General features: G+C 34.6%; 1 long non-coding RNA gene across 7 annotated transcripts in view; it reads left to right on the top strand.

Annotated features, from left to right (window-relative positions):
* LOC105377989 (uncharacterized) overlaps positions 1-15,886 on the top strand; it is a 347,578-nt gene that overhangs the window by 126,096 nt on the left and 205,596 nt on the right. For all 7 annotated transcript variants that reach the window (XR_002956387.2, XR_007059748.1, XR_007059747.1 and 4 more), the window contains one exon: positions 15,663-15,737. This is a non-coding gene — a long non-coding RNA (uncharacterized LOC105377989). The remainder of the gene's footprint in view (positions 1-15,662; positions 15,738-15,886) is intronic.

The raw sequence follows: 15,886 nt of genomic DNA, 5'->3' as shown, positions 1-15,886 counted from the left end.
GGATTGGCAGTAGAATCACAGGAATCAAAAAGTAATATACACTTGGGAGGTATATACTGAAAACTATTTCAATAAAGATTGGATTTGGAATCACCTCAGTATGAATCAGACATATGCATTAAAAAGTATATGGGATATATTCTTTTCATAAGGCATGTAGAATTGCCCAGTTACAATGTTTCAAATATTATCTGCATCCTAGGAAATTTGAGGGTGTATGACAGATAGGACTTTTTCTGGATGAAATAGATATTTTGCAGGAAAAGGTCACAAATATTTGAGAACAGATGATCTTGAAAATAACTTTACTACCCCATACAACAGTTTGTGATATTTAAGCATGTAGAAAACATAGTCTGAGTACTCACATGAAGAATGATGTTAGCAACTACATAAGACCTTTCAACCTAGGCAAGTCTTTGCTCTGTCTTCCTTTATGCTTAATGTTCTTTTCTACTCAACATTCTCTTATTTTACTTTTTTGACGATTTATTTTTTCTGTATTTTAAATATTCTTATATGTTGTGAATTAAAACGGTATGAACAAATACATAAAATCTTCACTGGTTTTGTTTCTGTTTAATTGTTGAAAAAGTTTAAAATAAAACATGGCTTTAGCTAAATTTCCTGTGTATTCTAGACTTTTTCACGTCCTATCAGAGTATAAGGAGAATGTGCTCTACTTAGAAATACTACCTCAGGGTTTGGCACCATGGGAATTCCTGTGGATTGTTTGGAAGTCAGAAATTCATAAAATTTTAGAATGTATGAAAGCCTTAGAAATTAAAAATGACTTTTTTTCTTTCTGAACAATGGAGAAAACTGAGCTCCTTGGGGGTGAAAATAACATGATCAATGTCATACAATTAGTTAATGGCAAAACCAGGACCTCAATGCAAATCTTACTATATCAAATTCAACATTTTATTTGCTATAACCTGCATTATCATTTTAGCTTGATATTGAAAAATGGATCAGAATTGCACAATTCAGAAATGAAAATGAATGCTACTTAAAAGATAATACTCTTAGGGAATGTGGAGCTAATTCATCGTGAATTACTTGAGGAAATTGAACTCACAACCAGTATATAGAGACAGGTCCCCAGGTTAAAAAGTGAGTCACAGATTTTAAAAACTCAGAGTATTTTGTGACCAATAGCATTTGAAGTTATGCAAATCAGATAAAGATAATCAAATCTCATACCACAGCACAGAAATTGATTGCCCCGGGGATCCAGCGCCTCCTTCTCTTTCTCCCTTCCTCTCCCTTATGAAGTAATTTCTTGGCCCTTAGAACTGTTTTCACAATTTATTCAAAGTGTTGCTGCCAGAGACCCATCCCATTTGGCACAAAGAAGGGAACAAAGCCCCCAACAACTCCATTGCTTTCTTCAAGGGACTTGACTCCCACTGTCTCTTCATTTCTTGGCTTTGGGAAATGACAGATTGCAGAATCAGATGTTGCACAGAAGTCATGATAACAACTTAGAAAGATGATCGTTCCTTGCTTGCTTGTTCTGTCAGGTTTTCTTTCCTTCATCTTTTTTTTTTTTTTTTTTTTTTACTAGAAAGTTTATAATATGTATTTCCAAAATTGAAAGAAAGATTTTTTTTAGCCCTATCTTCACAGGTATCGAATTCTCCCTGGCAAGAGAGCAACTACTGACCCTCCAGAAGGCCAGGCTGATTATTTCTATAGGTCTATTAACTTACTTCACAAGATGCTAGTGCATTTCAATCACCTTAGAATTCACTTAGCAACTCTTTCCTACATGAACTTGATAAAATAAGAGTCACTTTTTGACTATTTTGTAAACAATTGTTTATGTATGTCAGAAACCAAGCTCAAGGGAGTTTGCTTTCTGTAGTAGGAAGAGCACATATGTACTGAGAATCAGGATTCAGGGGTTTGAGAGCAGGCCCAGCTACTTACTAGCCTAGTGGCCCTGAGAAAATCACATCTTAGCTTCAATGTCCTCACCTATAAAATGAGGATAATAATACCTACTCTGTCTACTGCATAGCAATGTGTGGTAATCAAATGGAAAAATGCAAGTGAAGGCTTTTCTATAAACCATAGAGTGCTGTGCAAATGGAGGTTATCATTATTACTATCTGAGAAATGTGAAAAGATTAAAGAATAGTTATGTCACAAACAGCCAGACTGATGAAAAATATCAACTTCAATTTGCCTCCAAATGATTGTGTATTTAATTGTCCCAGCTCTGTAATATTGCTATCTGTGATGAAGGGTTATAAGTGCATTTTTATCAGGGCATTTATCCTAATCGACCGTGCTAGGGTGGGGTTGTGGAAAGTACGTACATGGTGGTGTTTGCTGAAACAGAATTCTGGTGTTGAAAGAGGTCCGCAAGAAGAAAGCATTTTTCAAGCTGTGGTCCTGTTCAGAATCATGAACTTGAAATTCTGCAGCATGCCTTGAAACTAGAGTGAAAGTATGATGAGATAGGACTCGTGAGGCCTGGGTTCCAATGTTGCCTTTGACTAGCACTGAATAACAAGGAGGCAAATGATGATGTGGGTAATATTGATGATGATGAAGATGATAGCAGTAATAACAGTAACTTTTATTGGGTAATTATGTTGGGCCAGGCACTAGGCCAAATGCTTTATAGACATTAAATTATTGAATCCTCTCAACAACTCTGCACCATAATTATCCCCATGTTACAGATGAGGTGATTGAGAATTAGACCTGGAAATCATTGCTACTAAGAGCCAAGATTTAGTCCCGAAAGTCTCATTTCCAAACCCAAGCATTTGCTGAATACTCTATCGCCTTAATGTTTCTGTGCCTTGGTTATTTCCTCTGTAAAATGCAAAGGTTAGCACAGATTCTCATATAGGGCTCTTCAAACCTGCTGTCATTTTGTAGGTATGAATCATTTAAAAAACTTGGTTGAGCAATACAGAATTTCTAAAGCTGCACTTCAGGTGTTCTATACCTCTGAAGTAAAAGAGGAAATAGTACCACCTGAATTTCCCAACACATATTTACTGCTATCTGGTTTATTTCTTGTTTAACATCTAAACTCTGCTAATGCTTTTCAGAAAATAGGCAAAGATTCAGACATGGAATTTTTTTTTTCAAAACTAAATATGACATATTTACTAAATTAAGGATGCTCTTTTAAATTAGACAAGTATGAGAATGGGGGCAATTAGGAGTTCAAGAAGAAGAAGAGAAAGTTGGGGAAGAGCAGGCATTGTTAGTACTAGTCAAAGGGCTCATTTTGGAACCCTGCTTCATTGGTAATGAAAGAGTAGGATAACTTGCCCAATAGAGTACTGGCGCAACAGAGGTGGAAGGAATGTTAGAGTTGGAAGGAATCTTAGAGAACATCTAGTCTCAAGTATTCATTTTACAGATAGGGAAAGAGTGTAGCAGGGAAAGATCACAGGCTTTGGATTTACCCATGTCCACATTTAAATCCCTGTATTGCTACTTGCTATTCTACCTTTGGCCAATTATTAACTTCTGTGAGGCTCTTCAAAGAATAATAGTGCTACCTATCTTGCTCAAATATATGTAAAGCAGCTAGGATAATTCTGGGTGTCTAATAAGCATTCAATACAAATTAGTCTTCCTCCCACTTAAATATCTTATCCTTTGTGAAAGAGTCACAAATTTGACCTCACCAAGGGCCGTAAGGTCATCTAACTTCCACAATCAGCAGTGGTCCCATTGGAGATTTGTAGCATTCTCCTAAGAATCGCAGTGCTTGCTTTTCATCCTCTATTGCATCCTTCCACCTCAAGCTGCCATTGTGAAAAAAAATGGCATTATTTAGCAGGAAAAAAGAGAAGGAATAGGAAACTTTTAACCTAAAAAATCGTATCCTAAAAAAAATTCTTTGAGCTTATTCTTTCAGTCAGTTCCTCTTGGGAACTTTTTTCTTCAATTTCCTGTTTTCTCTGATTCCTTCTCTTTGCCTACAAGCACACTAAACAGTGACATTAAACGTAATGTAATGATATTACAACTTGTAATATCACACTAAACAATGGTATTACAACTTGTTTCATACCTCTAAAGAATCATTCAAAGCCTTTATTTAATTAGTAATTATTATTAAATATTTTAAGGTATTAAAATATTTAATCTATTTTAACCTTAAAGTATTTAATCTATTTTAATACCTTAAAATATTTAAACTTACTAAAATAACTGAAAAAGTAGTGGTAGTAATTTTACTTACTGTCCTCTCTTTCTCACCTTTCATTTATTTCTTAAGCATTAAGAAACTCCCTAAAACATAGATAGGCATATCCTATGTCTCCCTGTCTCATACAAATGAGTCAAAATTTCTTAACATTCCCATTATCAACTCTATACTCATGAAGTCAATATTTCTATTTTACCTAAACTTTACATTTATTTTTCCAAGTATCTCAATGTGATGAAACAAATCTTATTATTTTGCCAGTTCTCCTTGTTCCCTATCTTTTGGACTCTCTGATTTCTTAAGCATTTCAAATAATTTTATTTTCCCATATTCCATTTCTGTTCATCTGCATAGAAACAATATGTAATCTTAAGTACCCTTTTGGAACATCTGACTTTATTTATGTATTGATACATGATAGTTGTACGCATTTATGGGGTACATGTGATATTTTGATACAAGTATACAGTGTGAAATAATCTATTGGGATATCCATCATCTCAAACATTAATTATTTATTTGTGTTGAAAACATTTCAAATCTTCTCTTCTAGTTATTTTGAAAAATACAATAAATTATTTTTAACTATAATCACCCTATTGTGGTATCTAACATTGGAACTTATTCTGTCTATATAATTGTATTGGCATTTACCAATCCCTCTTCATCCTCAAAAAAACTGAAAATCCAGCAATTACAATGCTGGGTAGAGATTCAAAAGAAAGAAAATCAGTATATTGAAGAGATAGCTGCACTCCCATGTTTATTGCAGCATCATTCACAACAGCCAAGATGTAGAATCAATCTAAGGGTCCATCAATGGATAAATGGATAATAAATATTGCATATATACACAATGAAGTACTATTTGGCCACAGAAAAGGAAATCCTGTCATTTGCAGCAACATGGATGGAACTGGGGAATATCAAACTTTAGCAAGTCAGCTACTTGCCAACTTTATTCAGTCTTCACAAAGCATTTCAGACCTAACCTTTAGACAATATTCTAGCACAGATTGTTATCAAATAGCTTCTGAAATGTCATAGGTATTTATTATTTGATCTGTTCTTCCTCTTTCAATTCATCTGCATGGTTTTGCCAGAACAATATTTGATTTGATTTGACCCCTTCTCCCCAACTGCATGAGCTTGAGAGTGCTTTTACATTGCTTACTAAAGTTACTTTGAACATCTTTTTAAGATTGAAAATAAAATAATTTGACCCTAATTAAATCTATCTAACTGGATTTTACATCACTCCCAATAAGTCTTCTATTCCAACCCAGTTAGCTTTCTTACTGTCCACCTAATCCCCTTCCGTATACCAGGCTCATGGTGGCCTCTTGGTCTTGATTCACATCATTTCTCCCACTAAAAGCAGCTGGAGCATATTCATGGTGCTTTGTAGTTCCCAAAGCACTTCTGCAGGCATTATTTCATTTGATCCTCCTTGTAATCATAAGAGATAATCAGGATTATTTTTCCCTTTTGGTCACAGGAGAAAGTCCAGAAAGGTTAACAGGCTTGCAAAAATCGTATGACTCTCAGTGCACCCAAAGTCTTGTGATTTTGAAAAAACTGTATTTACCACAGCAGAACACTTCTTAGACTACTTCCTGAGGCCTCATTAGCTTTCTATTTATTATTCAAGCCTAATTAAATTATTTCTCTTCCTTAAATTGTCTTATGGCTCCAAAAGCCCACAGAGATCTACACAATAGATGTTTAATAAGTATATTCACTTTTATCTCTTAATATTCTGATGATGAATCCAAAGAACTAGAGTGTCATTTTAGCATGGGCAAGGATGGGGTAGTTCTGAGTGCTTATTGTGGTGTTTTGATACTCAAATTATTTTGGTTGAATGAGGGAATTCTGTTTTGTCTGTATAGGTCAGCGTTTCCTATGCCTAATGTATTCAAAGAAAGGATTTATTCTTGTCTTCAATTATTATTATTTAAAATCACTATTGAGATTAAAAATATTGTTAGAATTCAAAAACAGACAAATTTAAAAGGACAGGTTTTATTTTTCTTATGGCAATTTAGTGGTAGAATTTATATAATAACTTAATTGACTCAACAATATCCAGTGTTGTTTTTGCCTTTTGTCCAATGATTTTTTTTTTTTTTTTTTTTTAGACAGAGTCTCCACTCTGTCACCCAGGCTGGAGTTCAGAGGTGCGATCTCCACTCACTGCAACCATGCAACTTCCATCTCCCAGGTTCAAGTGATTCTCATGTCTCAGCCTCCTGAATAGCAGGAATTACAGACATGCACTGACAAGCCTGGCTACTTTTTGTATTTTTAGTAGAGACTGATTTTCACCATGCTGGCCAGTCTTGTTTCATACTCTTGGCCTCAAGTTATTTGCCTGCCTCTGCCTCCCAAAGTGCTGGGATTACAGGCGTGAGCCGGTCCCAGTGCTTTATTTTTATTATGAGAAATATTATTTGACATTTCAACCTCACTTTAGTTCTCAGTTATTAAATATTTTCTAAGAACAAGGTGTGGCTGCTTAGTTTTCTCTGAAAATGGAAGAGATGTGGATTAGCTAAGTAAAATCAGTGTTATGCCACTGTGATTAACCCCAAGACTGACAAACAAAAATTTCAATTGGCCATCCTATGTGACCTTAAATAATCTTTCTTAGCTGTCATGCTACTTTTACACTGCTAAGTTATCTCTGCTTGGCTTGGACCTATTCATATGACACAATTACACATGACAAGCCAAGAACAAATAATATCAAATGCATACTAACATTTCCTAGTCTTTTGGTATTCAACAATCTTGGGAAAAAATAATAGATGGGAAAATCTTTCATATACCAAAATTGTATTATATATTATATACACTTATTTTAAGTAAAATAAACCCACATCAAATGATATATTTAAAAAATATTTATCTATACTTATTACAGAAGTAGCCATAAAGGGCAGAAAGAATACATAGCTCATCTTGCTGAGTGGGAGAAAAAGCCATCAATTGAGGGGCATACAAGTTATGCTGGATCTAATATGGCAAAGTGACCAATGGAGAAGAGGTTGAGAATACAGCATTTGTTGAGATGACAAACCCATGAGTTCCAGGGAGCACTGTGAAAAAGTTGACAAGGCATGGAAGCTTCAGTTAGACCAGTGGATGTGCAGATCCAAGTTGGGGTACAAGTTCAGTTGATGCATAAGGAGTAATGGGGCAGGTCAGAGAGGGCCTATTATGCCACTGTATGGGCTTAGGATATTACTCCAGGTAAGAGGGAGCCATTGGAGCATTTTGAGCAGAAAGTCTTTCTCTGGCCTCTTTTGAGAAAGGAAGTAAGGAAAAAGTGTGAAACAGAGATACCATTTAGGAAATTTTTGCAACAATCCGAGAGGCAGACAATGTCAATTTAGGATAAGGTGGTAGAGATGGTCATGGCTATAACGGATCAGATTCTGGAATCATTTAGAAAGTAGAACCAAGAAGATTTTCTCAAGGATTGGATATGGAATATAAGGAAAAGAGAGGAATTAAGCACGACTCGAAAGTTTTTGTCCTGAGTAACTAGAAGGAGGAACTTGTTATTAACATATATGATAAAGACTGTTCAAAGAGCAGGGTTTGGGGAAGAATATCAGAAATTCATTTTGGAGTTTTATGTTTAAGAAGTAAATTAGACATCTAAATGGAAATGCTGAGTAGGCAGTTGGATATACAATTCTGTAGAGGAGTACTTCAGGAAAGATGTATGGGCAGGAGTATAAATCTATGAATTCACTGTGTATAGGTAGTAAAAGAGAGGAAAAGATGAGCATCGTTTTCTTTTTCTGATGCTCTTCCCAGGAACAAAACTTCCTAAAATAAAAATGTAGGTTCTGGCTGGGCGTGGTGGCTCACGCCTGTAATCCCAGCACTTTGGGAGGCCGAGGCAGGCAGATCACGAGGTCAGGAGATCGAGACAATCCTGACGAACACGGTGAAACCCTGTCTCTACTAAAAATACAAAAAAATTAGCCGGGTGTGGTGGTATGCGCCTGTAGTCCCAGCTACTCGGGAGGCTGAGGCAGGAGAATGGCGTGAACCCAGGAGGCAGAGCTTGCAGTGAGCTGAGACACACCACTGCACTCCAGCCTGGGCGAAAGAGCGGGACTCCATCTCAAAAAAAAAAAAAAAAAAAAAAAAAAAAAAACAGAGGCTCTAGTAAATTTTATTTACCAAGACCTGATTTCAGGCTGGGTGAGATCTGGTGGCACGTTGGAATCTAGTTTCTTCCTACAGGTCTTCAAGACTGTGATGAGTTCAACAAAAAGTAGATTAAGCTCCTTTGAAAGGCAGGATATACATCCTAAATTAAGAAAAAACATGTACTACTGCTATTAAGACAGATTTGTTGATGGTGCTTAGAAGTTTTTCTCATCAAGAATCAGAAGCCCAGTAACATTTCCATTCATTCACTTCCTGATTGAGTCATTCATTCCTTAGCCAGAAACACTCATTAAGTACCTTCTATGAGGAACAGGATGGACAACACTTGGTGTGGAATAATGTAAGGTGTGAGGGAGAAGGAAGATTCTTGCCAAGACTTCCGAGATGTTTAGCTTGGGTAGTGCCTTTTAACCAAGATGGAAATAGCAGCAAGGAGTAGCAGGACAACTGCGTTTGTATAGGAAATTATATTTTTACCTCTTAAAATCAAGAAAATTATAGGCTACTCAAATGAACTGTCTAGTAGGCAATTGTTGGAGTGTGTTCAGAGCTCAGGAGGATATTAGGAATGGAGAGATTCCAGGCCAGAAACCCTGGACCAATTTTCTCCCAGATCATAGCTATATTGGATCTTTCTTTTTTCTAGATCTAAGCTTAAATGTCAATTCCTTAGTGACTTTCCTTTCTCCTACCTTATTCTCTTTATGTCCTGTTCTTCATGGCTCTATATCATTTAATTTTTCTTATTTATTTACTTACTTGTTTGGCGTATTTACATATTTAGTGTGTGGCTGTAGTACTCTACTTTAAGTTTCAAGATGGTGATGACCATGATTATTTTATTTCAGCTAACATAAATGTCTGGGACATAGTGATCAACAAAGCTGTGTACAATAAATGAATGGGATATACAGTTGGGAATTTATAGCATATCACTGGCAATAGAAGCCCAGGATATTAATGAAATTTCTAAGGTTAACAAAGAAGAGGACCAGTGAAATAATCTGAGGACACTTCAACATCAAAGTAAGACAATAAGGAAGTAATCATTAAGGGGATTTTAAATAACAAAAAGAGAGCAATGCCTTGAAACCAAATGAAGAAAGTGTTTCAAGCACTGCACTTTTTTTTTTTTTCCCAAAGAAAAGCAAAAGTTAAACTCCAATTCTTGGTCTTTATTTTTTTGTAGAAAAATAAAACAAACAGAAATCAAATAAAAACAATCTCTAGTCATTTATTATTTTTGCCCTTCTCCTTCTGATCAACTATGTCTATGAACTACAGATATTGAGTGTACGTTCCTGTATGTTTCTAGTTTTTCTTTGGATTTGGAACTATTATTTACTCAGTTAAAAAAAAAACCATCTAATTTTCTTATACCAGTGTCCAACGTAGTTAAACAATAAAGAAGATGCATTTGCGTGTCTCTCAGTGTGTAATATGTAGAAAGAGTGTATGTATGTGTGCTCCTGTGTGATTTTTTAGATAAAAGGAGGGTTTGAGTCAATGAAAATATTTCATGAGTCCTATCTAGGTCTATATAAGAGAGCTCTGAAAATACAAAGTGCATAGGGCCTAAATGTACTGATTAGAAGATCTAAATGTCGTCGGGAATGACCCACGGAGTGAATAATTTGTTTCTCTAGGAACATATGGAATCCACTGACTTCAGGAAATATTTTCAGAGCACACACATATTTCTTCAAGACGTTAACATCCCAGGGGAAAAGGAGGAATAAAAACATGACAGGGAGTAATTTAAAATGGCAGGTACTCCAGTTTTCTTTTCCTGTGCTGGAAACCTGATATTTGATACCAATGTAGATGATTTTCTTATGATTGCTATAAAAAGTTGATACTGTTCTTTCCAAATTCTCTAAGATTTATTTTTTCCTCCTCCTTTGTGGAATTTTGTTGTTTTTGAGTGGCTTGGATTGTGGGTACAAAGAAATCAAAACATTGCACATAATTTCTTAAAATGTAACCACAAGAAAACGCAAATGTTGAGGCTCTGATTCACAAAAGAATATTGCCTATTAGTTATGGTATGGTTCAGTGGGAAAATGGAGTCTAAAATTAAATTATATTTCACTAGACTGTAACACAATCAATCCTTGATTTTTGTGCATCAGTTATGTCATTTCTCTGTTTCATTTTAATCTTTTTAGTATTTTAAATAAGATTATAACACCTCAGGAGACTTAAATGCTGGATGGACTTCAGTACAGGCAACCTAGGTTCTAAGTCTTATTTTGCTACAAATGAGATATGTGACTTTTGGCAAATTACTTAAATTCTTTGAGTTTCAACTTCTTTTACCTATAAAAAAGGGCTGATACTGTTCATCTTAAAAATTATTGTGAGGATTAAATCTGATAATAGAAATAAATAAATGTGTTTTTCCTTTCTTTGTTTCTAAATGTTCAGTCTTTGGGTGGCTAGTGAAAATGTTAAAAGTACTGGGTACATTATTCACAAACCTTGGAGAACATAGTCTTCCACGTGAATCTAAACTTGTAAGGCAATACTTGTGGAAAAAAAATTTCAGAATTACTTAGGTGACGTGGTTGTCCTGAAATTAAGCTGTGTTATACTTTGGAAAGATGGTTCCTGAGTTTATAAATGATAGGCTTCATCTGAGGATACAGATTTTTATGACAATGGCATTTGTAATGATGACCCACAGTATGAAATACATCTTAATACTGCAACTCTGCACATCATGAATGAATGATGAATGAATGAATCCACTAATGAAGCCATCCCATAATGTGAAAACCTTTCTTTACTTTAGATATGAATATATCTGTAAGAGAGCCTTTTTTCTGATTGTATTACTACAAAGAGTATCTTTACAAGTTTCAAATTTACAAGATTCTTGGCAATCACCTTATTAGCATTTCTTTTTACAGTCTGAAAGTATTATTTTTGGGCACAAACTAATCAACAATTGGTCTTCAACCTAAGGAAAACTTAAGTCACCTGCCCTCTGATACTAAAAACTTTTACAAGACAATTTTGTTTGACCACTTAGCTTATTTAGATTGATGTGGTTGTTGTTTAAAAGACTACAGGGCTTGTTTAAAAGACAACAGCCCTTGCAGGGCTGGCTTCATGGATATAGAATCTGTTTAGGTCACACAAGTTTCTGTCCTCAGAAAGGCCCTGTACTTGGTTTAATGCTCTGTTGTTATCATCTTAAAATTCTTAATAATTTTTTTTAAACTTGTGATTTGTAACTGAAGTTTGTTGGGCTAATGGAGCATGCCTATGAGCAGAGAAGGTATGAGCAATATGTGTGTTTACAGTTCCTTGCCATCCATTTGTAAAGAGCCTTTTTGATGCCCCATCAACAGAATTGCAATGAATCCATGAGGCATGGGGTTTCAGTAAGACTCAAAGTAAATACAAGGTTAAGTGTGTTATGGAAGCTGCTATGTTATAGAAGGAAAGAGAGAGATAGGGCAAACCCACAGTTTCTTTTTCTTTCATTCCTTCATTACTCATGGGTAAACTGAAGGTAGAGAGTGTGAGTACAATGTGTGCATATCAGGAAATGAAATGAAAACAGGTGAGTTAGTTTTGTGCAGGGTTTATATTGTTCTAGTAAGAACCAAGTGCATATGCATGTATAAACTACAAAATAGGAATTGTATAATTTCAATGATTCTACTTACAATTGGATGTTTTTATATTTGCATTTAAAACTGATGTTGTACAATATAAAAATGAACAGTAAAATTCATGTTAAAATTTAAAACTTTAATTATTCTTTATTTAGAATGACATTAAATAGCAAATAAAAACACCATGATGGTTTAACAGAAAAAGCACAATATAAAAGAAAAAGCTTTGTATTTTAATAACTTTTAATGGCACTTTTTTCCTGCTTTGTGAACAAGGGACTTTATATCTTCACTTTGCATCGAATGCCATAATTTATTCAGTTGGCCTAAACTGCAAAATTTACTCTCTCTCTCTCTCTCTCTCTCTCTCTCTATATATATATATATATATATATATATAATGTGTATATATATATATGATATGTATATGAGTCAATTAAGAAAAACCAGTGGTTAGATAAAAAGTATCATGGGAATTCATGTATCAATTCATTTATTTGTTTGTCCACTCAATTATTTATTGAGCTTCTGTTAAATTGTCCTAGAAACTATAGATTCACACAAGTGAACAGGACAGAGCATCACTGCTGTCATGGATCTTGATATGTGGGGAAGGTACTCATTATCATTAAATATTTACAATGACAATTATTTAATAAAAAATATGTTAAGGGATAAGAAGAAGAAATCCAAGATGTATGAAGGTATATAATAAATGACATCTAACTGCTAATATTGGTTCAAGATCAACTTTAAACTTCCTCTTTCCTACCTAGTAGATGTCAGGCACTGTTTAAGGCAATAAAAATATAATGAACATTGGCCCCAGGAAACTCCCAATTTATTACAAGTATCATGTATTCTTTGTTAATATGTAATAATGTGCAATACTGTTATGACAGAGAGGGATTCAAGGTGAAGCAAAGATAAAGCAGTCATTTTCTGAGTGTTGGTGATGGGGATTGGGGTAGATAGCCCTTAAAGAAGCCTCCCACTAAGAGGAATGTGGGAGCAATAATTTTTGTAGGATTTGAGAAGTCAATATTTTAAATATTAGGACCTTAAATCGAATGAGTGGAAATCAGAACTAGTGAACTTTCCTATGATATGTTGCCTTTCCCTGGGCTCTAGTGAGAATGTCTCCTCCAGATCTTTATATCTGTCTCTATTGAAACAGATATTTTACTTGCTCCTGTTCTAGAAAACTCTTTGAATACCAAGTAATTTTTCATCAGTCAATATCTCCTTCTTTGCTATTTAGAACTTCGTTGCTAGGTTAATCATTCTCTGTTGCTATGTTAACAGAAGTGATAGCAGCTGTGGTTTACCTTAGTAGAGATTCTGTTTATTTGGTCAATATTGCTCATCATTGACCAAAAGATTCAATTTCAATTCCCTGTCTAACTTTCAAAATGCCCTGGCATATTTCTCTCATCTTTAGTTTAATGTCTTTTAATACATAATTTCCAAGATTAAATATTCACATTTAAATTCTTTCTAGTATTAGATTTTAACATAGCCAAGAACTCCAACCTACCTAAATCTTTAAGAACATTTGCTGGATTAAAATTTCTTTATATATCACATTGTACTGAGTAGGCTACAACATTGCAATATGAAATATTTTCCCTCTTGATTATGAAATTATCTCTAGCTACTAATGGTAACTAGTGAAACTAATGGTAATTTTCCTTGTTTAAAAAGTTGATTTTGGGGGGAATTTCTATAAATTAATGGAATCTTCATCTGAAATACTTTTTCACTCTTTCCTTGAGTGTAACATCTTGCTCTGAATTTTATTCCCTGGTTGCACTGATATACAGTTCCTGCTGTCCCTTTTCTACAGTGCTTAAATTCTCCTAAATTCCAATATTGACATGGATACCACTTAACTGTCTTTCTACAGTTTGTTTTCTGCAAATGAATACTCTATTCAGATTACTGATCTACCATGTTATCTCATTCTTATGTCTATATGGATTTATAATTGTTTTCTGGTTCTATCACATGTTTGTGTATTATCTCCCTTCTTGAGGGTGAGGGTCAGGTTACTTTGTAAATGTGCATAGTTTGACTGACATTTGGAATATATATGTCATGAGTGCATAAATTTAAACATTTCTAAAGCAGGTTTAATTTAAGGGAATTTTTTTTCTCCAAATAATGAGAGGTCTCCAGGTAAATGTAAATATAGCCATTTTTGTGTGATTTTAGGAAAGGAGAGTCATTTTTAAAAAGTCTTCAAATTGTAGGCAGTGGACTAATAGGACCTGAAGGACCAAATATAAGTACCTCAGAAGTGGTCTCTTGTCATGAATATTAATAGAAGTATCATTAAAGGTTTTTTCCAATTTCCTTCTTTCATGTGTGCATTAAGAAATCCTGGGTACAAAATTCAGACACTTAAAAAAAAGTTTAAGACCACAAAACCTCATGACTAAATTCATTTCTAATACAGCACAAAGATTCTAGTTCCGCCATTGAGGATTTCTTTCCTTTCATGATTTTAATAATTTATCTAGAATCACAAAATAAACCTCTTCCCAAACTTCATATTATATTCCAAAGCAGAAGTTGCAAGTCAAGAAGTTTATGTTGTAAATTCTAGGGTCTTCTCTCTTAGGATCTGTGCAGATCTCTGGCTGATTGCTTTATGCCTGGTTCTGGAGCCTTTGCCAGTGCATTCTAAGAAGAACAAGGGAAGACCAGCAAGCCACAGCAGAAGAAACTCAGAAGGAAATGTAATTAACTTCTAGCCTTTCACAGCTTTAGACCTTGGTTTGTGATGAGTAGAAGAATGTCCATCTTGAGAATGAAACAAGTGGAATGAAACTTTATGTTGGTACAACTGCAGTTATCAATGAGAGTAACTTCACCTTCATCCAAATGTATAAGAACAAATTATCTTACCTGACTGAGGGCAAAAAACTAAGGAATTCCCATAGTCTGACCTGTTATTGAGACATATAATACCTCCACAAGTGATGTTTCAAGTGCCCAACATACAGTGAATATCACAATGAACCCAAGACTGTCATCACTAAAGTAATATATTTAGTTACTTGGTTAATGGAACCTGAGTAAAAAGTATCTGATTGTGTTGTTCTGATCATTCTAAAATTCAAAGCATTGTCATTTCACCAGGGAGGAGAAAACAAAACAAAACTAAACTAAACTAAAGTAAGACTGAATTACTGTCTAACTTGGAAAACAAGAGGACATGCCTGGCAGAACTAGGCCCAAATAATTCAGCTCAGATATCATATTCTTCATCTTATATCCAGTTCCTAACTTAAAAGAAAGTTGTCTACTATAAGTTCACTTGGCCAACGTTGTCCTATAATAACACTATTTTAGGTGGTGGTTAGGTTTCCAAGATTAGTACAAATGCCTACTTTATTCAAGAAAACATACACCTGAAGTGTAAATATGTGCAGAACATGTTTTGTTTTTGACAATGAAATTATATGAGAAAGATTCAACAATAGTTTCCTGTAGACTGGTGCTTGAAGAAAAAGTATACTTTCATTAGACGGAGAGTTAGAAAATGGCAAGTTTGTGTGGGTTTTTAAGGAGATACACAAAGACTGATAGCATTCATAGAATTTGTGGCTAACTTTACTTAAAATGTTTAACCTTTCTCTTTTCTTATACAGGTAACCTTCCACAGGCCCACACATGTGTTATCAGCCATACCTTAGGACAGAAGGAATGAGTTTGCAGAAAGGATGGTAAGTGTTTCTGAATAAATCGAGCATACAATAGGAGATACATGAGAAGGAGTAAATGGCCAGAGCAGTATATTTATAGACAAGGAATAGTACCCAAGATGGAATTATCTCTGTTGTGATATAAATGAAAATGTAAGAACATTATTGCA

This window comes from Homo sapiens, chromosome 6 (genome assembly GCF_000001405.40).
Source record: "Homo sapiens chromosome 6, GRCh38.p14 Primary Assembly".
In the NCBI taxonomy this organism is placed as follows: domain Eukaryota; kingdom Metazoa; phylum Chordata; class Mammalia; order Primates; family Hominidae; genus Homo; species Homo sapiens.
Note: the sequence above shows the minus strand (reverse complement) of the source record. Positions and strands in the feature narration are given on the sequence as shown.